Source organism: Homo sapiens, chromosome 18, assembly GCF_000001405.40.
Source record: "Homo sapiens chromosome 18, GRCh38.p14 Primary Assembly".
In the NCBI taxonomy this organism is placed as follows: Eukaryota; Metazoa; Chordata; class Mammalia; order Primates; family Hominidae; genus Homo; species Homo sapiens.
The window spans coordinates 6784521-6810491 of NC_000018.10; the positions used below are offsets into that span (position 1 = coordinate 6784521).

The 25971-nt window shown below is 38.3% G+C and overlaps 1 protein-coding gene across 12 annotated transcripts in view; it reads left to right on the forward strand.

Annotated features, from left to right (window-relative positions):
* ARHGAP28 (Rho GTPase activating protein 28) overlaps positions 1-25971 on the forward strand; it is a 186001-nt gene that overhangs the window by 54805 nt on the left and 105225 nt on the right. Inside the window, exon 1 of one of the 12 annotated variants that reach the window (XM_047437801.1) lies at positions 6985-7150. The exons of the other annotated variants lie outside the window; for them this stretch is intronic. The gene's annotated coding sequence lies outside the window, so the exon portion shown is untranslated. Of the gene's footprint in view, positions 1-6984; positions 7151-25971 lie in introns of those variants that run through there. 12 annotated transcript variants of the gene reach the window in all.

Below are 25971 nucleotides of genomic sequence, written 5' to 3' on the forward strand. Positions count from 1 at the left end.
CTTTCCTTATTTATTCCACAAAGTGTTACTGATTCCATTCTAAACTCCAGGCAAGGGGGCAGATGTTAGGGATACAAAGAATAAGGAAACATGTTACTGCCCTCTATTCAATTTAGTGAAGGGATGAAGACATGATCATAGTCAATTTCAGCGCAGTAGGAGGTACATAACAAAGATGGGAACAAAATGATGTGGAAACAAAGGCCAAAGTTATCCAAAGTTACTTTGCTTGATGAACTTAAAGTCCCTCTGTAAAATCCTTTGAAATGTGTTGTGTTTTCTAATTTTAGTCACGTGAAAATATTGAGTAAAGATATCTGATTATAATCCCCTGTCCTCAAGCTTTGTTCGAATGTTACATTTGACAAATAGCAGTATCTCTCCCAAGAACAGCTAGCAGTCCATGGAGTCAGAGCTGTTTGTACTGAGGCAGCTCCTGAGCAGCAAATGCCTGTGGACAACCAGGGTCTGAGGAAATTGAGGAGCTGATTTTTTTTTTCCAAAAGGAAATTCGTGGAGAAAACACCAAAAGATTCCCTCATAAGCTGTCTTTGGAATTAATTTCAGTGCTTGTTAAAACACCTAAATCCCTCTTTCAGAAGGATTCTCCAATAACTTCGTAATTAGGTTCTCTTCTTTTATCATCTGTAAGGAATACTCCCCATTTGAGTCCCTGCATAGTTCACATAAATGAAATAACACAGATTCCAGATTACCTCAGCAAGAGTAGTAGAACACTTTTTCATATCATTATAACTTTTAAAAAAGAAACAGTGGCTTAGGGCTTTGAATATTGATTTAACTGTTCATTCATTCAAGAGGACCAGGTGTGTCACTCAAAATTTAACTCTTTCCTCACTCCTTCCTGGCACTATAACTCAGTGGTAAAGATAGCTCCATCACTCTGGGTTCCTTCTTTCCACCTCCAATGCATCTTTCTACCTCCAACAAGTCCTTCTTTGGCCCAGGGGTCCCTTAGATCAGCACAGTTGCTTCCTCCTCTTTGCTTCCTTAGTTTGTAAGCACCTGGGACTTGGATTGGCATCTGTGCATACTTGCAGGAATTGATGCGTTGACTGTGGTCCTGGGCCCCTGGTATGTTGTAACCCTTATTGTATGATAAACGACTAAGCCAACCAGCAGGTTTGAGAATTCCAAGGAAGTGGGTGCAGTTGAGAAACTGAGAAAGGGATTACCGTGCCTGTGATGTATAAATGAGTTTCCATGTAGATATGAGCACTAGACTGAGATGGACATTTTCAGGCTTTACTTAGTTTTCCAGTGGCTAATACCATACGGTGATAGTGCATGAAATTAGTTGAGTTGGTCAATATCTGCATTTGAAAAAATGAAATAGAAAAGGAAATAGGTCAGAGTATATCACACATAATGAGACTGTTTCATGAAACTTTTGTTACATGTATGAGGTATGTGTGTGTACTGGGTAGAGATCTAAATTGTGTTTCTTCATATGGGTTGACATTAAACATTTTTTGGAAAACACTCCCTGAGGAGATGTCTGTTTGAAATTAGGAGAAGTTCTATTGGGAGGAACAATTGGGAGGGAGGTTTATGTCTTTAAATGGGAGAAGAAACGTCAGTTGAACAAAACAGTATTTTGACGTGGAGTGACCAGCGTAGTGATTTCCAGAGTTATTCATTTGTACAAGCTAAACTGCAACTAGACATTAGTCCTATTGGGTCATAAGCTTATATATTACACCTTTTTTATTTTTTCTATTTTATTTTTCCTTTTCTTTAGTTTTTAGTAAAGAATGTTTTGACAAATTATCCTGTCATATATACTTAAAGAAAAAATTAAGAGAATTTTCCTAACTATGCCAGTCCCAAAGGGATAGGTGTATACCCAGGTCAAGATAAGCTGGTGTCAATGAGGATAAAAATGTGAGAACCCAGTGGAGAAGAGCAGTCCTCAGGAAGGAAGAGTTGGGGCCCAGTTTCTCTCACCACTCTCTTCTCCCAGCATTCGGGCTCCATCATTGTGCCACTGTAACCTTCCAACCACACGCCCCCCAGCATGCCTTTTTGGGGTGCGCTGACCACTTCATTCTTTGAAACTATTATTCCAATGTCCTTGCTATTGATAGGTGAATCCCTGAAAGAATGATATAAGATTGTACCATTTAAAATTTGATGAAAAGATCAAAACAAATTATCCTCACAGCAAGAACTGCCATTCAAAGCTTTTAAAACTATTTGCTATGGCTATTGATATATAAATATTAATAATTATAAAGCTATTTGCTGTGGGGAAAAAAAAAATCCCTAAAATAGCAAATTTTCTTTTCAGAGCTCAGCTTCTTACCAGCAAAGTTTTTTATTTTCTAGGCTTTTCCCTTTGGCCTAAAAATATTGAAATGTTCTCATGTGATCATTCATTCACAATTGAAGTTGGGGCCGCGCGCGGTGGTTCATGCCTGTGATCCCAGCACTTTTGGGAGGCTGATGCCGACGGATCACCTGAGGTCAGGAGTTTGAGACCAGCCTGGCCAACATGGTGAAACCCCGTCTCTACTAAAAACACAAAAATTAGCCGGGCGTGGTGGTGGACGCATGTAATCCCAGCTACTGGGAAGGCTGAGGCAGGAGAATTGCTTGAACCTGGGAGGCGGAGGTTGCAGTGAGCTGAGATCGCGCCACTGCACTCCAACCTGGGCAACAAGAGCGAAACTCCATTTAAAAAAAAAAAAAAAAAAAAAAAGGATTGAAGTTGCCCTTGTAAATGTATTTTGAGGATAAGAAAAAAAAAAAACTAAAATAAGAATCAGCATCTCTTGAGTGAAGAAAGTTCTTTAAGCTACATTGTTATTATTTACTTTTCCTTTATACTAATAATATATCATTTGCTTTCATGTTTTAGGTAGAGATCATCAATGAGAATGGTTATTAAGATACTTATTTTTTTCCAGGGATGTAGTCTGTTAACTGGGGAAAACTTCTTTCATGTAGATTGGTGGTTTTCAACAATGGAAGAAACTTAAAAAAATTAGTTCTATCTAGGCCCTACCCCCGGAAATTCTGATCGTTTTTATCTAAGACAATATAGCATAATGCCTGTGGCACAGACATTAACACTTTACAAAGCTGTGATGTGCAGGCAAAGCAATGGCAGTCTGAATTTTAATCTGGTGGGTTGGCTTTCCATAGGTGTCCCCATGGGTGTTTTTTGTTTCACTTTTCAAAAACACAGTTTTAACCAATGTTATCATTCTCTATTAAAAGTGTTAGACACAACTCTCAAAGACAACTGTATTTAAATATACAGGCACAAGAGATTTCTTAATGTAAAAGTTTAATTCCAACTTTTTAAATAATCTAATTCCTATCCATCACAGTTGGATTGACAGTAGGATTACTCCAACTGTAATTTCCTCTTTAACTAATTTGAGTAGTTCTGCTTTGTTCCATGTATTCTGGCTCATTCTGCCTTTTGTCTAGTCAGAAAATACAGGTTGGCTTCAGTTTCTCCTGGCCTTGAGGCATCTGCATGTCTGTAGTTGATAAGGTCTGGATCTGTGTCCCTGCCCAAATCTCATGTTGAATTGTAATCTGCAGTGCTGGTGGTGGGGCCTGGTGAGGGGTGATTGGATTGTGGAGGTGGAGTTCTCATGAGCAGTTTAGCACCACCTACCCTTGTTACTGTATAGTGAGTGAGTTCTCGGGAGATCTGGTTGTTCAAAAGTGTGTAGCACCTCCCTCAGCCCCTTCCTCCTGCTCCGGCCAGGTGACGTGCTAGCTCCCCCTTTGCCTTTGGCCATGATTGTAAGTTTCCTGAGGCCTCCCCAGAAGCCGAGCAGATGCCAGCATCATGCTTCCTGTACAGCCTGTGCAACTGTGAGCAATTAAGCATCTTTTCTTTATGTAATAAATTACCCAGCCTCAGGCATTTCTTTGTTTTCTTTTTGTTTTTTTGTTTGTTTTTTTTTTGTTTTTGTTTTGAGATGAAGTCTTGCTCTGTCGCCCAGGCTGGAGTGCAGTAGAGTGATCTCGGCTCACTGCAAGCTCCACCTCCTGGGTTCACGCCATTCTCCTGCCTCAGCCTTCCGAGTAGCTTGGACTACAGGCACCCACCACCACACCCAGCTAATTTTTTTGTATTTTTTTTAGTAGAGACGGGGTTTTACCATGTTGGCCAGGATGGTCTTGATCTCCTGACCTCATGATCCACCTGCCTCGGCCTCACAAAGTGCTGGGATTACAGGTATGAGCCACCACGCCCGGCCAGGCATTTCTTTATAGCAATGCCAGGATGGTGTGCCAGACTGTATCAGAGACAAGTGATACAAAGATGACCAAGATACAGTACTTGCCCAGGAAGAAGAATTCCTGTGGCCACCTCTGTCTTATATCAAGAGATAAGTGTGAAACAGAGTATCCACAACAGTGTTTGGGAAGACAGTGTGAGTGGCTCCCAACTCTACCAACAAAGGCTTCAAAGGAGTAATGACATTTGAATTGAGTCTTAAAGGATAAATGTATTACTTGGCCTGACAACACAGAAGAAAAGGTCATTTTTGTCAAAGAAATCAACCTTGAAAAAATGCCGCAGTTCATGACTTGTACCAGTGAAGGTAGCAAGGTCTGTGTGTTGGTGATGAATTTGCAGGGGATCAGGCTGAAGAAACAAGACTTGGGAGAGAGGATGTGAGACCTTTTTATGACATGCATAGAGTTGGCACCTCAGCCTTTGCATGGTAGGGAGCTAGCTGAAGGCTACCTCCATGACAGATGTACACTTTGAAAAGACAGGCCGGGTGCGGTGGCTCACGTCTGTAATCCCAGCATTTTGGGAGGCTGAGGTGGGCAAATCACTTGAAGTCAGGAGTTAGAGATCAGCCTGGCCAACACAGTGAAACCTGGTCTCTACTAAAAAAAATAAAATAATTAGCCAGGCATGGTGGCGCACACCTGTAATCCCAACTATTCGGGAGGCTGAGGCAGAAGAATTGCTTGAACACGGGAGGCGGAAGTTGCAGTGAGCTGAGATGGCACCACCGCACTCCAGCCTGGGCGACAGATCAAGACTCCATCTCAAAATAAAGGAAGATACAGCTAATCTATATTTCTTTCACCAGAGATCACCACCACTAACAATTCATACTGGTCGTTTTTCCCTGAATGTTTTACCTATGTAGGAAAATTTTACATCCCAATTTTTAATTTAACACTATGAAAAGCATTTCTTTTTATAATAAAGACACTCTATTAGTATACTTTTGATGGCTTCAAAACTACTTTTGTATAGATGCAAAATTAAAATATCAAATTGTTTCTTTTGTTTGTTTGTTTTTTTGTTTTTTTTTTGAGACAGAGTCTCACTCTGTCGCCCAGGCTAAAGCACAGTGGCATGATCTCGGCTCACTGCAAGCTTTTCCTCCCAGGTTAAAGTGATTCTCATGCCGCAGCCTCCCGAGAAGCTGGGACTACAGGTGTGCACCACCACCCCCGGCTAATTTTTTGTATTTTTACAAAACACAAAGAGAGACGGGGTTTCACCATGTTGGGCAGGCTGGTCTCAAACTCCTGACCTCAGGTGATCCGCCTGCCTCAGCCTCCCAAAGTGCTGGGATTGCAGGCGTGGGCCACCGTGCCCTGCCTCAAATTGTTTCTTTAATGGTTGTTCCCAAATTTTCATAAATAACTTTTTACGTAACATTTTTGGGCATAAAGTTGTCTAAAATTATTTTCATAGGCTAGATACCTTAAGTACACTTAATGATTTAAATCATACTTAACATTAAGACTTTAATGTTGCTATATTGATATTTAGTAAAAGTACAAAACTTGTGCTTTAGAGTTTAGACATATTCAGGATATAAGATAGTTTTGTTGGATTTGGCGAACACTTGCCCTAGGAGAATAAAAAATGATGAATTAGTCCAAAATGTTCCAGTTTTCTAATTTGTCAGACTCGGTAAATGGTATCATCACCAACCAAGAAAAACAGAAGATACAGGGAGAGTAGATTTTGCAGAAAAGATAAGGAGTTCTGTTTGGGACTTGCTGCCTTTGATATACTGCACTGGGAGAAAATCCAAGTCGAACAGAGTGGACAAGTGAGAATGTGCTGTGGAATCAACAAGAGGGGTGGGGAGTCTACCTACCTAGATTTGAGAGCAGTTTGGCAAATAATTGTTAGTAAATGTCATAGAAATTCGTGGGAGAGAGAAGTTGATAAGAACAGAGGGGTAAAGGATGAAACAGAGGAAACACTGCCGCTTCTCAGGGTTGGGTACAAGAGAAGCCAGGGAAATAGACTAAGAAAGAGTGATCAGGGAAACCGGGAGACAGTGTTGTCACGGAAGCCTGGAGTGTGAGATTTTCCAGAAAAGAAGGAATGAAAGAATGAATGGTCTGTAGATCCATTACTCAGCACTATCAGACACATTGTCCCCTTTTGATATCCCATAATGAAATTTATAGATAATATAATCTACTTGTGCACAAAATTTTAGAAATTAATATAATGCCCCAACTATAATATAAAGTGTATTAGTCAGGGTTCTCTAGAGGGACAGAACTAATAGGATATATATATATAAAGGGGAGTTTATAAAGTATTAACTTACACTATTACAAGGTCCCACAATAGGCTGTCTGCAAGCTTGAGGAGCAGAGAGCCAGGCTGAGTCTCAACACTGAAGAACTTGGAGTCCGATGTTCGAGGGCAGGAAAAATCCAGCACAGGAGAAAGACGCAGGCTGGGAGGCTAGGCCAGTCTCTCCTTTCCATGTTCCTCTGCCTGCTTTATATTCACTGGCAGCTGATTGGATTGTGCCCACCAGATTAAGGGTGGATCTGCCTTCCCCAGCCCACTGACTCAAGTATTAATCTCTTTTGACAACACCCTCACAGACACACCCAGGATCAATATTTGTATCCTTCAATCCAATTAAGCTGACACTCAGAATTAACCATCACATAAAGGAAGAAGTAAAAGGAAAGTATATTTTATATAATAAGTATTTAAATATGTAAACATTGGGACATGACTAAAACTGACTGAACACATTGAAGGAGTCACTTGGTTGGTCTGATGTGCAGAATTACCATGCATGCTACAAATGGAGAGGGGTCTACATGAGCTGTATTGCTTGTGGTGCCGCAGATGACTTGAATTTCCAGAATGGTGAGTATTTGAACAAAACAAAGTATAGTTTTCCCTCAAATTACACTATGGTTGTATTGCTGTAAAGTTCCATGTATAAAAACATATTTTATGAGTCCTTATTGTATGATTCCATTTATTTAGAATTCTATAAAGTGCCAGTTTTTTTCTTTTTTTTTTAATTTGTGGGTTTTTTTTGTTTGTTTGTTTGTTTGTTTTTTGAGATGGAGTCTCACTCTGTCACCCAGGCTGGATTCTCCTGCCTCAGCCTCCTGAGTAGCTGAGATTACAGGCACCCACCACCATGCCCGGCTAATTTTTGTATTTTTAGTAGACGAGGTTTCACCATGTTGGCCAGGCTGGTCTCGAACTCCTGACTTCAGGTGCTCCACCTGCCTCGGCCTCCCAAAGTGCTGGGATTACAGATGTGAACCACTGTGCCTGGTTTAAAGTGCAAATTAATTTGTAGATTCAGAAAGCAAATCATGGTTACCTGGAGATGGACGTAGAGGAAGGGATAGAATTACAAATGGGTGTGAGAAGACTTTTGTAACTGATGGAGGTGTATGTGTCCTCGACTGTCATGATGGTTTCATGTGTGAATACAAACGTCAAAACTCATCAGGTCGTACATTTAATACATGTGCAGTTTATTGTTCATCAGTTATGCTCAATGAATTTTTTCAATAAATGTTTAATAAAGCTGAGCAAAAAAGTACATTGTATATCTATATTTAAAACTGCATTAACCTCTGATAGTTATAAACAGGTTTTTGTCCTGTGGTGAGTGTCCAGCAAGGATTTGAAAGTCCTGCATGACACAGGACAGTTCTTTCTTATGCAGTACTGTCCATGCATTTTAGGACTCTTGGCATTCCTGGCCCTGCCAATTAAATGCTAGTCCTTGCAACAATCAGAAAACGCTCCCACAGCATTCCAGAACACTTCCTATGGAGTGATACAGTGCAAGGGGGAAGCAAGTGTTCACAGCATCAAGTGCCCCTCCTTCATTCTTAGAGTTCTGGCTAAGCAAGAAATCGGGGAAAATAACATAATGGCGCAGTAATCGTGACCTCTGTGGAACTCTGTAGTTCTCCCTCCCGCCAGCTGATACAGTTGTTCCACTGTGACTACATAAATTGCTCCAATCCCTTTTTTCCTCAGAACTATAGGTTCTTAGGTTAACTCATTAGACATATGAATGTTGCTGTTCCTCTTAGCAATGGCTCTCATCTAGCCGGTTTCCAGCCTACTTACAAATGAAATCTGTTCCCTAAAGCTACTTCCAGTATGATGCTCACATTTGCCTCATTCAAAGTGTATTTCAAACATTAAGCAAAACATAATGAAAACCTTGAAAGAAACAACTTATTATTCTGCATGATTTGTTGTGGCTTTTATACTGATTATATTGGGTCCAAAAGTTTTCCACATTTCTGCCCAAAAGACTATTTTTCTTTAAGTCATGACTGGGGCAAGTGATTTGACATCTACAGCTGCTATTTCTTCATAATTAACACACTTACGAGACACAATAAATATGGAACCCTAAAATGCTGTACAATTGTAAGGTCCATCATTGCAATGGGCGGTAATTGACTACAGAAGGCCTTGGTATGTAACAATAGGTAAGGTCTTTTTATGCTCAAAATAAGGACAGATGAGGAACAGTGCTCCTCTAATAATTCTCTGACCTGTTGTTTTAAGGATTCAGGCCATGGACGCTGTTCTTATGTGTACCTCTATTTTGTTTCATGTTTATGTTCTTCTTCTGCATTCTGTCTTCCTACAGCCAAAGGGAATGGACGGCTTTGAGGTGGACAGAGATAGGGTGGAAGAAGAGAGTTAAATTTACGGCTCTAAGGTTATGCTCTAAGTGGAAGAAAACTAAAGAATTACAATTGATTTTCAGGAAACTATTTGAATGTCTTTCCCTATTCACCCTTTTCCCTCCACCTTCATACATATGTAAAGTCATAATGCGAATTATAAAGTGCTTCTTGGCAGTGACGTTTAAAAGATTGTTGGTTACTCTCTGTGTTCATCAGTAATAGATGTGTATTGGCTTCTAATATGCTGAGGACTTGATTTAGATTTGTCATTCATTCAGAGGGACCCGTGAAGGCTAAGGGTAGTCAAAAAGGATACTAGATGATTTACAATGTAAATAGAAAATATTCTACTCAGACTCATTTATCAATATGGAAGTGTCCGAGATTACTTGCTAGAGGCTCTGTTAGATCATTCATGAAATGGGTATGAAGAGGAGAGAGAGGTTATACTTTGTAAATTCTATATGTTAATAAAATGAGTGCTTTATTCATTTTCAGTCAGAAAAAAATAAAAATATTAGATAACAAACACCATTAAACTTTTTCCAGTTAAAAATAAACAATATTTCTCATTAAGAAAAAGTGTATGGCGTGCAGTTCTAGGCTTAAGGTGTTGCAAAATAGATGCACAGAAAATTGTGCTTAAAATAGCTGCCACATTTGTTCTGTTTTCTACCACATACCCCACTAAACATGATAAATTCTTCTTTCCCAACCTCTTTTGATCCTCCCCACAAATTAAGTTTCATAACAGACTACCACATTTTGTTCTAGTTCATATTCTTTTTTTCTGTCATAATACAACAAGTAAATTGTAGTGGCTTTGATTTATGTTTCTGCCTGACTTCAAAAACACTAGAGAAATTGTCCGTTCTAAAAATGGGCTCATGGATCTTGAGCATGTAGCAGGAAAATGGGGAGACAGTCCTGTGAATTGCAGAGGAACCTTGGAACTGCCCATCCTCACCAGGAGGAACTTGGGCCTCCCCTGGCAGGTAACAATGCGCATTACTGCTCTATCCCTCACAGGACACTGCCTTGCCTCCCTTGACTTGTGATTTTAAAAATTCCCAGTGGTTTTCAGTTTTTCTTATAAATTCTTTTAGATTTGCTTTTAGGGTCTAAACCATTTATTTCTGATCTTGCCTTTTGTTTGTTCAATAGATCTTGAGACTCTGAATTCTAAAATCACATGATCAATTTAATTTTTTTTATGTTTGGTCAGGGTCTTGCTCTGTTGTCCAGGCTGCAGTGCAGTGACACAGATCATAGCTCACTGCAGCCTCGACCTCCTGGGCTCAAGCAATCCTCTTACCTCAACCTCCAAAATAGCTGGGATGACAGGTACACGCCACCACTCCTGGCTAATTTTTAAATTTTTTATAGAGACAGGGTTTCACTGTGTTGCCCAGGCTGGTCTCGAACTCCTGGGCTCAAGTGCTCCACCCGCCTGGGCCTCCCAAAGTGCTGAGATTACAGGTATGAGCCACCATGCCTGGCCTAATTTTTTAATTGCAATTTTTCTTAGATGCATGAAGAAAAGTTACACAGATTTAAACGGAGTTTCTGGAGAAATCAACTGAAGCACTGAAGTTTTATTTTCACAGATTATCATTAGAATATTTTCCTGGGTATTCATTTTATTAAGACTAATTTTCTAAATCCAGGAGTGGATCTTAGAGCACTTTCTCTCTGAGGGAGTGGATCTTTACACAAAGATTCAGAGTATGAAAAGCAACGCGTTTTCATTGATTCTCCTATTCTTTCTGAAATCCAGCAAGGAAGAGAGCTGGAGGGGTCCCTGCGAGAAAGAAGAGTGCTCCAGGAGGGCACAGCCTGTGTTGATGGTGACGAGATGGGAGGATATTCTAATAGTCACCCTTCCTCGGGGAACAGTGTGTTCCCCTAGGCTGGGGAAGGGAGAGGATTTCTCTGTGTGTCCCAAGAAGGCACACAGCTGCAGCCTGGGCCTCACACACATTCTTTTGCTCTAGACCAGGGATTGGCAAACTTTTTCTGTAAAAGACCAAATGTAACTATTTTCTATTTTGCAGGCCATATGATCTCTGTTGTAACTACTAACTCTACACTGGCAGCTGGCGTGTAGCCATGGACTATGCATAAGCAAGTGAGAGGAGCTCTATGTCACTGTGGCTGTGTTTCCAGAAACACAGCCTATATGTTAGCCCGCAGCAGAAAGCCTGCAGCACTCCAGATTTGTCTGTGGGTTGTAGTTCACTGATCCCTGCTCTAGGTCACACTTGACATTCTCACTGGGCAAGCTGGGTGTAGCCCCTATGTGAATGGTCAAGTTCCCATTTGCAGAAAGAGTCACCAGATATTTAGAGGCTGGGCTTCCCTAAGTCCCTGTGTTAACCAGGATATGGCCTGGGACATCCCAAGGGAAGTTTTAAAACATACAGCCAGGTAACATGTAGATCCTTGCATTTCATGTGTAACATTGGAACCTAAATCAAACTACAGCATATGACAAAAGCCAGACCATCATATCTAAAGCCTACAGGCTTCTCCTGCCTTTGAGCAAAGTCTGGCCAATGGATGAATGAATGTGCCTAACAAAATGTAGAGCAACATACATGGGTGTTATTCCAAATATTTAATAACTCTTTAGAAGGCCCAGGAACGTACCAAGAGAAACAGGCCTTAGCGGTAGACAACCAGCCTGATTTCTGTACCAGTGAGCACTCGCTGAAAAGAAGTTGTCAATAAATGGTAGCAGAGTGCATGCACACACGCATTCATGTATTTATAAAAATATATACACATCTATACATGCATACATTTTTTTCAGAGCGTATTGAGACCACTTGAGCTTCTCAACATGCATTTCTACATTACAAATCTTCAGCTTCCCTCACCTGCCTCCCCCGAGCACCCCTGCTATACTCCCTGTCTTTCCCACACATCAACTTACCCATTTCTAAAAGCTTCCTGGCCTCTGTCTTCAAAGATGCCAACATCATCTTCATTCTGTAACAATAGCCGTTTTATTGAATACAATATTTTGTATTTGATGTGTAGGTCATTTTCTTCAGAAAAGGTACATTGTCATACAGGCTACGAGATTGGGTAACCAATAAACTGCAGTCATTCTGAAGTTAGTCTCGCTCTCTTTTCTTTCCTCTCTGAATTGTAGGTTCAGCTTTGTTGTTATTTTCCAAAAATACATTATTACAACATCCTATGGGTCTTATAAATAATGAGATTGGCAAGTGAACCTATTTGGCAAATTCCCATAAAACCTTTGGTGATTTAAAGGAGCAAGTTTCCCTATTAGTCGAAAATGAACTACTTGTTTTTCTTTCTCCTTTTTGTGTGTACACACATACACACACTTCTGTGGTTTTATATTTTATTCAAAAATAATTGAAAAATTTTAAATGATTCTTAAATTAAGAAATAACAAATGGAAAATTAGAAGCAAACCTTAGCCAGGTGTCTGGTAGGTGAAGGGGTCTGTAAACTGGGGATGGCAATTGAAATTAGGTTAGTCTAGACAAACTTCACAACCCACCAGAGGGAGAAATTTATATGTATATGACCAACAAATATTTATTGAAAGTAAATAGACTTTGGGGCTCTATTTGTTTCCTTCCTGTTCTTGTCATCCAGGTGTTATATAACGTTAACTTTCTGGAGTCAGGTGTATCCACTTATAAAATCTGCCCTGATTTGTGAAGAGGTGTGTTTTTTGTTTTTGTTGTTGTAGTTGTTTTTAATCAGTAACTCCCCACCTGAAGCAAGACTTCAGAAATGGAAAAAACTGGATCACTTTGTTGCTTTTGGAGTATTTTCTCTGTCACTTGGAGACTGGAAAAGACAAGATGGTTGCCAACTCAAGGATTTCCGCCTTCTGGAGGCCGCGTAGTCTGAGCATCTGTCTTCGCTTCAGAACATTGTCTGAGGCTAGAATTGTCCTGGCAGTTGTCTCTTGGACAGTACTTAAAACTTAAGGAGTCTGGATCTTCATGAAACTGTATATGATATTTCTCCCCCACCTCCCTCTTCCCGGTCTTCTGTTTCCTTTTGTCTTCTGTAATAGCAGAACTTTGTTATCTTTTTAGAACTGGCACTGCTTGGAACAGCTTTCTACAATTTGGAGGCCTATGAGAAGGGGAACTAGAGAACAGTGATTAACTTTAGATGATGTTTTTAGAAACGCTTTTTTTTTTTTTTTAAGTCGCAGTCTCACTCTGTCACCCAGGCTGGAGTGCAACAACGCGATCTCGCCTCACTGCAAACTCCGCCTCCCGGGTTCAAGTGATTCTCCTGCTTCAGCCTCCTGAATAGCTGTGGTTACAGTCACGCGCCACCACACCCGGCTAATTTTTGTATTTTTAGTAGAGACAGGGTTTCACCATGTTGGTCAGGCTGGTCTCGATCTCCTCACCTTGTGATCCGCCTGCCTCGGCTTCCCAAAGTGCTGGGATTACAGGCATGAGCCACTGTGCCCAGCCGAAACACAATTTTTTAAACACATTTTTAAAAACATTAAGTTTAAAGGAAAAGCATAAATTTGAAAAGATTTATTTTAATAAAATTCAGTTTTTTAGAACACTAATGATAAAAATAGGAAATAAAAAGGAAAAGACTCTTTTCATTAAATAGTGTGGAACAATTGGAGATTCATATGCAAAAAAACACCTCCATCTACATATAATCAGAGAAGGAAACTAATTATAAATTATTGGGGTTGTGTGTGTGTTTTGAGACGGAGTTTCTCTCTTGTCACCTGGTCTGCAGTGCAATGGCGCAATCTCTGCTCACTGCAACTTCCGCCTCCCAGGTTCAAGCAATTCTCCTGCCTCAGCCTCCCAAGTAGCTGGGATTACAAGCACCTGCCACCATGCCCGGCTAATTTTTGTATTTTTAGTAGAGACGGGGTTTTCCCATGTTGGCCAGGCTGGTCTCGAACTCCTGACCTCAGGTGATCTGCCCGCCTCGGCCTCCCAAAGTGCTGGAATTACAGGTGTGAGCCCGCCATGCCCAGCCTGTAAATTATTAAACCTATACAATGACTTTCTGAAATACGTTTCTTCAATATACAGCATTCACTTTAAAAAGCTCAATATTCTAGGTGAAGTAACTCAGGAATGGAAAACCAAATACTGTACGTTCTCACTGGGAGCTAAGCAACAAGGATGCAGAGACACCCACAGTGATATAATGGACTTCGGGGACTCAGAGGGAGGGTGAGGAATAAAAGACTACATATTGGGTACAGTGCACACTGCTCAGTTGACTAGTGCATTAACATCTCAGAATTCACCATTATAGAATTCAACCATGTAACCAAAAACCATTCGTACCACCAAAGTGATTTAAATAAAAAATAAAAGCATTTCCATATATACTTACAATTCTTCTGTGTTTATGCATTTAATATTTACTCATGTGAAGCATGCATCATGCTAGACCCTGTGACAGACTGAGGGATGTCAAAATTAATCTAATGTCATTTCTGATTCCAAGTAGTTTAAAATTTAATAATTGAGATGAATCATGTCTTCCAGCCAGTGAACTACAAGATGATAAGTGGTATGTGTTGGCAGAACCTTTTCATCTGGTAGGATCAGGGACAATATCCTAGAGGAAGTATTACTGACTTCAGTTCTTGGTTTATAACAATGCCTCATTTTTCCCTCAACAATGTGTTTACTTCTTTGGTGACTTGTCTTTTTAAATCTTTAGCGCATTAAAAAATACAATGGTTTCTGCTCAAGGAAATAAGAGCAGACACAAAAAAATGGAAAAACATTCCATGCTCTTAGATAGGAAGAATCAGTATTGTGAAAATGGCCATACTACCCAAAGTAATTTGTAGATTCAGTGCTATCTTCATCAAGCTACCATTGACTTTCTTCACAGAATTAGGAAAAACTACTTTAAATTTCATATGAAACCAAAAAAGAGCCCATATAGCCAAGACAATCCTAAGCAAAAAGAACAAAGCCGGAGGCATCACGCTACCTGACTTCAAACTATAAGGCTACAGTAACCAAAACAGCATGGTTCCGGTACTAAAACAGATATATAGACCAAAGGAACAGAACAGAGGTCTCAGAAATAACGCCGCATATCTACAACCATCTGATCTTTGACAAACCTGACAAAAACAAGCAATGAGGAAAGGATTCCCTGTTTAATAAATGGTGTTGGGAAAACTAGCCAGCCATATGCAGAAAACTGAAACTGGACCGCATCTTAACTCAAGATGGATTAAAGACTTAAACGTAAGACCTAAAACCATAAAAACCCTGGAAGAAAACCTAGGCAATGTCATTCAGGACATAGGCATGGGCAAAGACTTCATGACTAAAACACTAAAAGCAATGGCAACAGAAGCCAAAATTGACAATTGGGATCTAATTAAACTAAAGAGCTAATGCACAGCAAAAGAAACTATCATCAGAGTGAACAGGCACCCTACAGAATGGGAGAAAATTTTTGCAATCTATCCATCTGACAAAGGGATGATATCCAGAATCTACAAAGAACCTAAGGAAACTTACAAGAAAAAGAACAACCCCATCAAAAAATGGCTGAAGGATATGAACAGACACTTCCCAAAAGAAGACATTTATGTGGCCAACAAACATGAAAAAAAGCTCATCATCACTGGTCATTAGAGAAATGCAAACCAAAACCACAATGAGATACAATCTTATGCCAGTTAGAATGGCAATCATTAAAAAGTCAGGAAACAACCGATGCTGGAGAGGATGTGGAGAAATAGGAACACTTTTACACTGTTGGTGGGAGTGTAAATTAGTTCAACTATTGTGGAAGACAGTGTGGCAATTCCTCAAGGATCTAGAACCAGAAATACCATTTGACCTAGCAATCCCATTACTGGGTATATTCCCAAAGGATTATAAATCATTCTACTATAAAGACACATGCACACATATATTTATTGCAGCACTGTTCACAAAAGCAAAGACTTGGAACCAACCCAAATGCACATCAGTGATAGACTAGATAAAGAAAATGTGGCACATATACACCATGGAATACTATGCAGCCATAAAAAAGGATGAGTTCATGTCCTTTGCAGGGACATGGATGAAGCTGGAAACCATCATTCTCAGCAAACTAACACAAGAACAGAAAACCAAACACTGCATGTTCTCACTCACAAGTGGGAGTCGAACAATAAGAACACATGGACAGAGGGAGGGGAACATCACACACTGGGACCTGTCAGGGGATGGGGGACTAGGGGAGGGATAGCATTAGGAGAAATATCTAATGTAGATGAGGGGTTGATTGGTGCAGCAAACCACCATGGCACGTGTACACCTATGTAACAAACCTGCATGTTCTGCACATGCATCCCAGAACTTAAAGTATAATTTAAAAAATACAGTGGTTTGATTATTACTGAATTTTGAAAGTTCTTTATGTATTCTGGATACAAGTACTTTATCAGATATATGATTTGCCATTATTTTCTTGAAGTATGTGGCTTATCTTTTCATTCTTTTGTCAATGTCTTTTGAAGAGCAGAGGAATTGTAAGTCATGGATCGTGCTTGTTGTGTCCTATCTTTCAAATATACCTAAGCCAAGGTCACAAAGATTTTTATTTTCTTTTGTGTTTTCCTCTAGAAGTTTTAAAAGGTTTTAGATTTTACGTTTAGGTCTATGATCCATTTTGAGTTCATTTTTGTATATGGTGTGTGGTATGAAGTATGGATGGAAGGCCTTTAAATTTTTTTTGCATGTGAATTTCTAGTTGTTCCAGTACTATTTATTGAAAAGATGATCTTTTCCCTAGTTAGCTGCCTTTGCACCTTTGTTGAAAATTAATTAACAACATATGTGTTAGTGTATTTTTGGGCTCTATTCTGTTCTAATCTGAGTCTATTTGATGGCAGTACCACATTGCTTTCTTACTATAATTTTATAACAAGTCTTGAGACACATAATATAAGTGTGCTGACTTTCTTCTTTTTCACAGTAGTTTTGGCTATTTCAGGTTCTTTGCATTTTCATATGAGCTTTAGAAAGCTAATCAATTTATATGAAGAAAGCCTGCTAGGATTTTGGTAGGGATTTCATTTGAATCATTGAATATATTGATCAACTTGGGGAGAATTGACATCTTTTTTTTAATGTGACTTTTAAAATTTGCTATATAATATACATATTTTGGGAGTACCTAAGATAATTTAATACATTGATATAATTTGTAAAGATCAAGTCAGTCTAATTGAGATATCCATAACCTTAACTATTTGTCTTTTCTTTATTCCAGAAACATTCAAATTATTCCCTTCTTAGCTATATTGAGATGTATGATAAATTATTATAAATAGCCCACCGGTCACCTTACTGATCTATCAAACACTAGATCTTATTTCCTCTATCTAACTGTAAATTTGTACCCATTAATTAACCTCTCTTCATCCTCTACCCTTTTCAGCCTCTGGTAACTACCAGTCTACCCTTTATCTTAACGAGATTCATGGTTTAATTCCCACAAATGAGTGAAAACATGAGATATTTGTCTTTCTGTACTTGGCTTATTTCATTTAACATAATGACGTCCAGTTCCATCCATGTTGCTGCAAATGACCAGCTTTCTTTCTTTTTAATGGCTTAATAATATTCCATTGTGTAGGTATACCACATTTTCTTTATCCATTTATCCATCCATTGATGAGCATTTAGCTTGATTTCCCTATTTTGGCTATTGTGCTACAATAAACATGAAAGTATTACAATAAACATGAGAGTGCAAATATCCCTTTGATATGTTGATTTCCTTTTATATATGTGCAGTAGTGCAGTAGTGGAATTGCTGGATCATATGGATCATATGGTAGTTCTTTTTTTTTTTTTTTTTTTTTTTTTTTTGAGATGGAGTCTCACTCTGTTGCCCAGGCTGGAGTGCAGTGGCGAAATCTCAGCTCACTGCAACCTCTGCCTCCTGGATTCAATTAATTTTCCTGCTTCAGCCTTTTGAGTAGCTGGGATTACAGGTGCCTGCCACCACATCTGGCTAATTTTTGTATTTTTAATAGAGACGGGGTTTCACCACATTGGCCAGGCTGGTTTTGAACTCCTGACCTCAAGTGATCTTGCCCACCTTGGCCTCCCAAAATGCTAGAATTACAGGCTTTAGCCACCATGCCCAGCCTATTTTTTTTGTGTTTGTGTTTTGAGGAACTTCTATACACTTTTTCATAGTGACTGTACTAATTTACATAACATCTTAAAATACTAAATCTTCCAATCTTTGAACAAGTTATATCTCTTCATTAATTTAGGTGTTCTTTAATTTCTCAGCAATGTTTGCAGTGTTCAGTGTACAGATCTTGCACATCTTTTGTTAGAATATTTTATGCAATTGTAAATGGCATTGTTTTTAAAGTTTTCTGGTTGCTCACTGTTAATATATAGAAATACAATTATTGTTTTCTATATTACTCATGTATCATAACTTTGCAAAATTCATGTATTAATTTTAGTTTCTTTTAATGTATTCTATAAGATTTTCTAAATATAAATTTTTTATGATATCTACATATAGCTAGTTTATTTATTTCTTTCCAATCTGGATACCTTTTCTATCTTTTTCTTGCCTGATTGCATTGGTTAGAACTTTTAGTACAATGTTGAATAGAAGTGGTGAGAGCAATCATCCAGGTCTTATCTGTGACTTTAGGAAGAAAACATTTAGTCTTTCATATTAAATATGATATTACTGTTTTTCCTAGATTCCCTTTATAGGTTGAGGTAGTACCCTTCTATTCCTAATTTGCTAAGAATTTTTTTACAGGAAAGGATGCTGGATTTTGTCAAGTACTTTTTTCCCATATATTGCGATGATCATGTGGTTTTTATTTTTTCATCTGTTAATATGATGAATTCCATTGATTATTTTTCAAACGTTAAATCATCCTTGTAGTCGCAGGATGAACTCCATTTGGTTATGATGCATTATATTTTTTATATAGAGTAGATTGATTTGCTAAAATTTTGTTAATAATACTTGTGTCTGTGTATATAGGGGACATTAGCTGATGGCTTCCTTTTCATGTTATGTCTGTCTTGTTTTGGTATTTGGGTAATGCTGGCCTCATAGAATGAGTTAGTGAGTGTTCCCTCCCCTTCAATTTTCTGAAAGAGTTTTTGGAGAACTTCTTTTTAAGAAGAAAAATAATAAATTATCTTTTTCTTAAATGTTTGTAGGAATTCTCTGATGAAGCCATCTGGACCTGGAGTTTTCTTGATAGAAAAGTTTTTATTTTTATTTCTTATTTTTATTTTTATTTATTTATTTTTTTGAGACAGAGTCTCACTCTGTCGCCCAGGCTGGAGTGCAGTGGCGCGATCTTGGCTCACCGCAAGCCCCGCCTCCCGGGTTCACGCCATTCTCCTGCCTCAGCCTCCCGAGTAGCTGGGACTACAGGCGCCTCCCACCACGCCCAGCTAATTTTTTTGTATTTTTAGTAGAGATGGGGTTTCACCGTATTAGTCAGGATGATCTTGATTTCCTGACCTTGTGATCCACCTGCCTCGGCCTCCCAAAGTGCTGGGATTACAGGCGTGAGCCACCACAACCAGCCTCTTGGTAGAAAAGTTTTAAATTACAAGTTCAATTTATTTAATAGATAAAGGGCTATTCAGGTTATCTATTTCTTCTCAAGTGAGCTTTGGTAGATTGTGTTTTACAAGGAATTTATCTTTTACACTAAGTTGGTGAGCTTGTTGGCATAAAGTTATTTGTAATATTCCAGTATTTTTCATTTAATATCAGTAAAATTTGTAGTGATATCACCTCTCTCATTGCTGGTATTACCAATTTATGTCTTCTCTTTTTCCTGATCCATCTGGATAAAGGTTTATTAATTGTATTGATCTTTTCTAAAAACAAGCATTTGGTTTCATTTATTCTTTTTTTTTCTGTTTTCTGCTTCATTGTTTTTTGGTTCTGGTACTTGTTATTTCTAATTTTTTCTGCTTATTTTGGATTTAGTTTGCTATTTTTCTCTTTTAAGATCAAAGCTGAAGTCATTGCTTGGACATTATAGGTGTTTAATGTTACAAATTTCCCTCCAACCACTGCTTTAGCAATGTCCCACAAATTTTGTTATGGTACATTTTTAATACTTTTACACTTTCTGGTTTCATTTTTATTTCTCTTTTGATCCATTGGGTAATTAGAAGTATGTTATTTTGTTTCAAAATATTCCAGGATTTTCCAGATATCTTTCCATTATAGATTTGTAATTTAATTTGATTGTAGTCAAAGAACATATTTCAATGATTTGGATCCTTTTAAATTTATTGACACTTTTTGTGTAGACTAAATAGTATCTATATTGGTAAATGTTCTATGTGTACTTGAAAACGTGTATTCTGCTATTAATGGGTGAAATGTTTTATAAATGTCAAATAAGTTGTCTTTTATATACTTACTTATTTAGTATCTACCTGTTCTATAGATTATTGAAAGAGGGTTTTTTAGAAAAAGTTACTTATTATTTATATTTTTAGAGACATGGCCTTGCTATGTTGCCCAGGCTGGCCTTGAACCTCTGGGCTAACACTGTCTTCCTGCCTCAGTCTCCTGAATAGCCAGAACTACAGGTACATCAGGCACATGCCACCATGCCCAGCTGAAAGAGGGGTTTTGAAATCTTTTACTGTAATTTTGGTTTTTGTCTATTTTTCCTGGCTGTTCTCTGAGTTTTTGCTGTATTTGTTTTGAAGCTCTTGTTAATATGTAAAGTTTGAAGATTGTTATTTCGTCTTCATTGATCTTACTGATTATTATAAAATGATTTGCTTAATCTCCAGAAGTCTTTTTGCTCTATAATAAAATTTTTCCTCTATTAATATAGCCACTACAACTTTCATTTGATTTGTTTTAGCATGGCATGGTTTTTTTATCCTTTAATTGTAAGCTATTTATGTCCAGCATACTGTTCTGTATTGCTTTTTAATCTGGTCTGATAACCTTTGCCTTTTTTTTTTTTTTTTTTTTTTTGAAACGGAATTTCACTCTTGTTGCCCAGGCTGGAGTGCAATGGCACGATCTCAGCTCACTGCAACCTCTGCCTCCCGGGTTCAAACGATTCTCCTTCCTCAGCCTCCTGAGTAGCTGAGATTACAGGTGCCTGCCACCACGCCCGGCTAATTTTTGTATTTTTAGTAGAGACGGGGTTTCACCATGTTGGCCAGGCTGGTCTCGAACTCCTGACCTCAGGTGATCCACCCACCTCAGCCTCCTAAGTGCTGGGATTACTGGCATGAGCCACCATGCCTGGCTACCTTTTCTTTTTAATTGAGAGGTTTACACCATTTATACTTTAATGTAATTATTGATGTGGTTGCATTTAAATATTATTTTTATTTGCTTTATATTTTTCCTTTTTTTAAAATTTTTTGGAGACAGAGTCTCACTCTGTCGCCAGGCTGGAGTGCAGTGGCAAGATCTTGACTCACTGCAACTTCCGCCTCCCGGGTTCAAGCAGTTCTCCTGCCTCAGCCTCCCAAGTAGCTGGGACTACAGGCACACGCCACCAGGACTGGCTAATTGTTTTGTTTTTTTGTATTTTAGTTGAGGCGGAGTTTCACCATGTTGCCCAGGCTGGTGTCAAACTCCTGAGCTCAGGCAGTCCGCCTGCCTCAGCCTCCCAAAGTGCTGGGATTACAGGTGTGAGCCACCGTGCCTGACTATTTTTCCTTTTTTCATTCTTCTTTTTCTTCTTTTTTGGCTTCTTTTGGTTTAATTGACAATTATTTGCTTAACATCTCTTTGTTGTGTTATTTTAGTGATTCCTTTAAGCTATGTATTATAATCTTTATCAGTTTACCTTGAAGTAAATTGTCTGAGGTTAAAAATAAACTGAGTAGATTAATGGCATAGTAGACATAGCACAAGAAAAAGATTAGTGAATTTGTAGGCAAAAGCAGTAGAAACTTTCCAAAATAAAACAGAAAAAAAGATTGAAATATATATATATGCAAAGAGAATAGTGATATAGTCAAATATGACTATATTTTTATTTGTTATATATATATATGACAAAAATTTTATAACAGTCCACTTCTGTATCTCCTTCTCCCTTGCAGGCCTTTCTGCTATTGTCATGCATTTTTATTATTTTTGTTTTAAACAATCAATTTTAAGGACATTTAAGTAATCGGAAAATAATTTTATATTTAACCTTGAACTTACTGTTCCTTATGCTCTTCATTCTCATTATAGATTCATATTTCCATTTGGTATCATTTTCCTTCTGCTTGAAGGATTTCCTGTAACATTTCTTATGGGGAAGATCTGCTGCTGCTGAATCTTTCATCATTTTTATGTCTGAAAAAAACCTTATTTCTCTTTTATTTTCAAAGGATATTTTCATTGGGTTGATAGTTTTTCTTCAAGTACTTAAAAGATGTTGTTATGCTATCTTTCAGATTGTATTGTTTCTGACAAAAACATCTGCTGGCGTCCTTTTCTTTATTCCTCTGTACATACAGGCTTTTTTGTTTGTTTTCCTCTAATTGATTTTACGATTTTTTCTTTATTGCTAATTCAAATAAGTTGATTACGGTGCACCATGGTGTTGTTTTCTTCATATTTCTTATCCTTTGAGTTTATTGAACTCCTTGAATCTGTGGTTTTTGTGTTTTCATCATTCTGTTAGGGTGTTTAGAAAATTTTCTTTGTGTTTTCTTAAGATGTCAGTATTTTCGCTGGCTTCTTAAACATGCAGAATAAAGTTGTAATAACTGTTTTCATGTCCTTGTCTACTAATTCTGTCACCTGTCATTACAAGGTTCATTTGTAGTGATTGCATTTTCTCCTCATTATGGGTCATATTCTCTTGCTTATTTGCAAGCCTCGTCATTTTTTATTGGAATTTGCAGTGTGGATTTTTTTTTATTAGGGGCTGGATACTTTTATAGTTCTATAAATATTTTTGAGCTTTGTTCTGGCACTTGAAAACTATTTGATCCTTTCATATCTTACTTTTAAGATTTGTCAGGTAAGACCAGAGCATTTAGTCTAAGAAAAAGCTTTTCCCCACTCTAGAGGCAAAACTCTTCTGAATACTCTATCCATGGTCTTATAAATTATGAACTTTTCCACTTAAGCTGCTGAGAACACAAACTATTCCTGACCCTCGGTGATTACTGGGATCCTGTTATCTGATTCTTCCAGTGATTTTCCCTGACTGAGGGTAGTTTCCATATATGAATTTGCTGATTCTATTCAGCTGAAGGCTTGACGGGGCTCCTCTGAGGAGCTCCAGAGTTCTCTGTCTTTGGAGATCTCTCTTCACCAGTATCCTGTTATGTGAGCTCCAGGGCTTCCTTGATTCCCAGCTCCATTTCCTAAACTCAGACCCTCAGGCTCAGCTGGGTTCCCTGCTTCTGCCCCATGGCCTGGAAGCTCTCCCTAAGCAATAAACTGGGGCTATTGTAGGGCTCAACTTGTTTATTCCCTGTTCCTCCAGGATCACTGTTTTCAGCTTCCTGACATTCAATATCTTGAGAATCGTTTCATATATTTTGTGTATGTATGTGTGTGTGTTTTTCATTTCAAGTGGGAAGTGAGTCTGGTTCCTGTTACTCCATCTCGGCTGGAAGCTGACACATTTATGAGGCCATCTGATATCCTCCTATTGGTCACAGGGGCTCTGTTTATTTATTTTTTCACTCTTTTTTCTCTGTGTGTTTCTGTTTATTCACCAGTATCTAATGTATTGTTAATTCTACTCATTGGAGGTATTATTTCACATATTGTATTTTTTATGTATAGACATTTCATCATTTATGTCTTCTTTTTCCTTATTCATGTTGTATTTTAAAGCTTTAAAGGTTTTGAGTATTTTTATTATAGCTGTTTTAACATTTTTTCTGCTAACTCCATCATCTCTGTGTCTTTCTATTGAGATTTTTCTTCTCATTATTTGTTCCTTTTTCTTTCTTTTTCATTTATTAAGTAATTTTCATTGGATTTTGGAAGTTGTCAATTTCAAGTGGTCAAGTCCTAGATTTTGTTGTATTTCCTTAAAGAGTGTACAGCTGTATTTTGGCAGCTAGTTCAGTTTCTTGTGGATATTTTTTCGGGGGTTACATTCTAGAGCAGCCTCTAGCTAGAGCAAATTTAGCCTTCTTAGTAAGGCATGAGACTTCTAAGGTTTCCATTGTATATCTTGTGTATTTGACCATGTCTCTTTACTCTGGCAAGTGTGAAGTCTTACTCTGTCATGGTTTAAAGCATAAGTCCACTTGATATATATATTTTTAGTATACACACCAGTGTACATACATTTTCCTAGCTCTGTATGAGCAGTGGGAACTTTTGGATTATAGCTCCGTGGTTCTTTGTGTAGAAGTTAATTTTTGCCTGATCTTGAGAAGGTTCAACTCATGCAGCCCTGATGGGCATTCAGCCAGAGTCAAGGGGACCCCCATGCCAATTCCTAAAGCAATATCTCTTCATTGATTTTATTTTTTCTGGTGCTCTGACCAGAAGATTCTAGCCAACTCGCCTTCCTGAGCTTTGATCTCTGCTTCTTCACCTCAGTGAGACTACTGGGCTCTGTGCAGGAACTCCTTCCATGTGCTCTATTTTGGAAATTCCTCTAAGTAGAAAGCTACATTGATTAGAAGGCTAATTTAATTTGTTTTCTTTCTCCCTGGCATCATAGTCCTGTTTTGCCTCTTGTCAAATCTTAAAATGGTTGCCTCCTCTATTTGTCCAGTTTCTAGTTGTTTATAGTGGGAGAGTAATTTTTATCCCCATTGCTGTCATAGTTGGAAATGGAAATTCACTTTATATATTTTTAACCTACGTACCTGCACAAATGACCATATAAAGTATTTGTTTTGGCTCCATTTGCCCTTACTAGAATGAAACCATAATGAGGGTGTATTAGTTCATTCTCACATTGCTATAAAGACATACCTGAGACTGGGTAATTTATAAAGGAAAGAAGTTTAACCAGCCCATGGTTCTGTGGGTTGTACAGGCTTCTGCTTCTGGGGAGGCCTCATGAAACTTACAATCAGGGCAGAAGGTGAAGGGGAAGCAGGCACATATTTACATGGCCAGCAGGAGAGAGAGAAAGAGAAAACAAGCAAGCAAAGGGGGAGGTGCTACATACTTTTACAACAACCAGATCTTATTAGAACTCTATCATGAAACATCGCTAGGGAGACTAAACTATTAGGGGTGCTAAACCATTAGAAACCACCCCCATGATCCAATCACCTCTCACCAGGCCGCACCTCCAACATTGGGGATTACAATCCAACATGAGATTTGAGTGGGGACACAGAGCCGAACCATATCAAAGGGCTAGGCCTTTTTGTTCATTGCTAGATTTGCAGTACCTAGAATGGTGTCTGGCATCTTGAATCTTGTACCTAGTATTTTTAGGTACTCAATAAACAGTTGTTAAACTAATCATTGTCACTATATTATAGTCAGTAAATTTCTTCAGAAATAAATTTTTAGTCTTCTCTTTGCATGTGTTTCCTAATTCACCTTCACCTCTGAATTAATGGATACTTTGGAGAAATTTAGTTTTTTCCTTTTTGCTATCAAGCCAAAATTTCAGCTGATTGTTGAGAAAGTTCGATATAAGTTTCTGCCTTTATCTCTGTATGAATTCCAAAGCATCTACCTACAAATTATTTTTATATTTTTTATGAGATACCAGTAAGTGTATTGATAGAAGTATGCTCAGAATTGCATCAGCCCATGTATAAAGGAATGAAGGATGGGTTTGAGAAGTTCTTGCCTTCAGGAGAGGGCACCTAAAATGAATCTTACATTAAGTCAGATAGCAGTGGAAGGAAAGATTCCAAGCCCAGGGAAAGCATGAACAAAGGCACCCAGTCATCAGTCTGTAGGATGTATGGTTGAGTAACTACATCCCATTGTCTTGAGCAGTTTCATTGCAACATCCAGATAGAGATGTTCAGTGGGCTTTTTTTTTTCCTTTTGTAGACACAGGGTTTC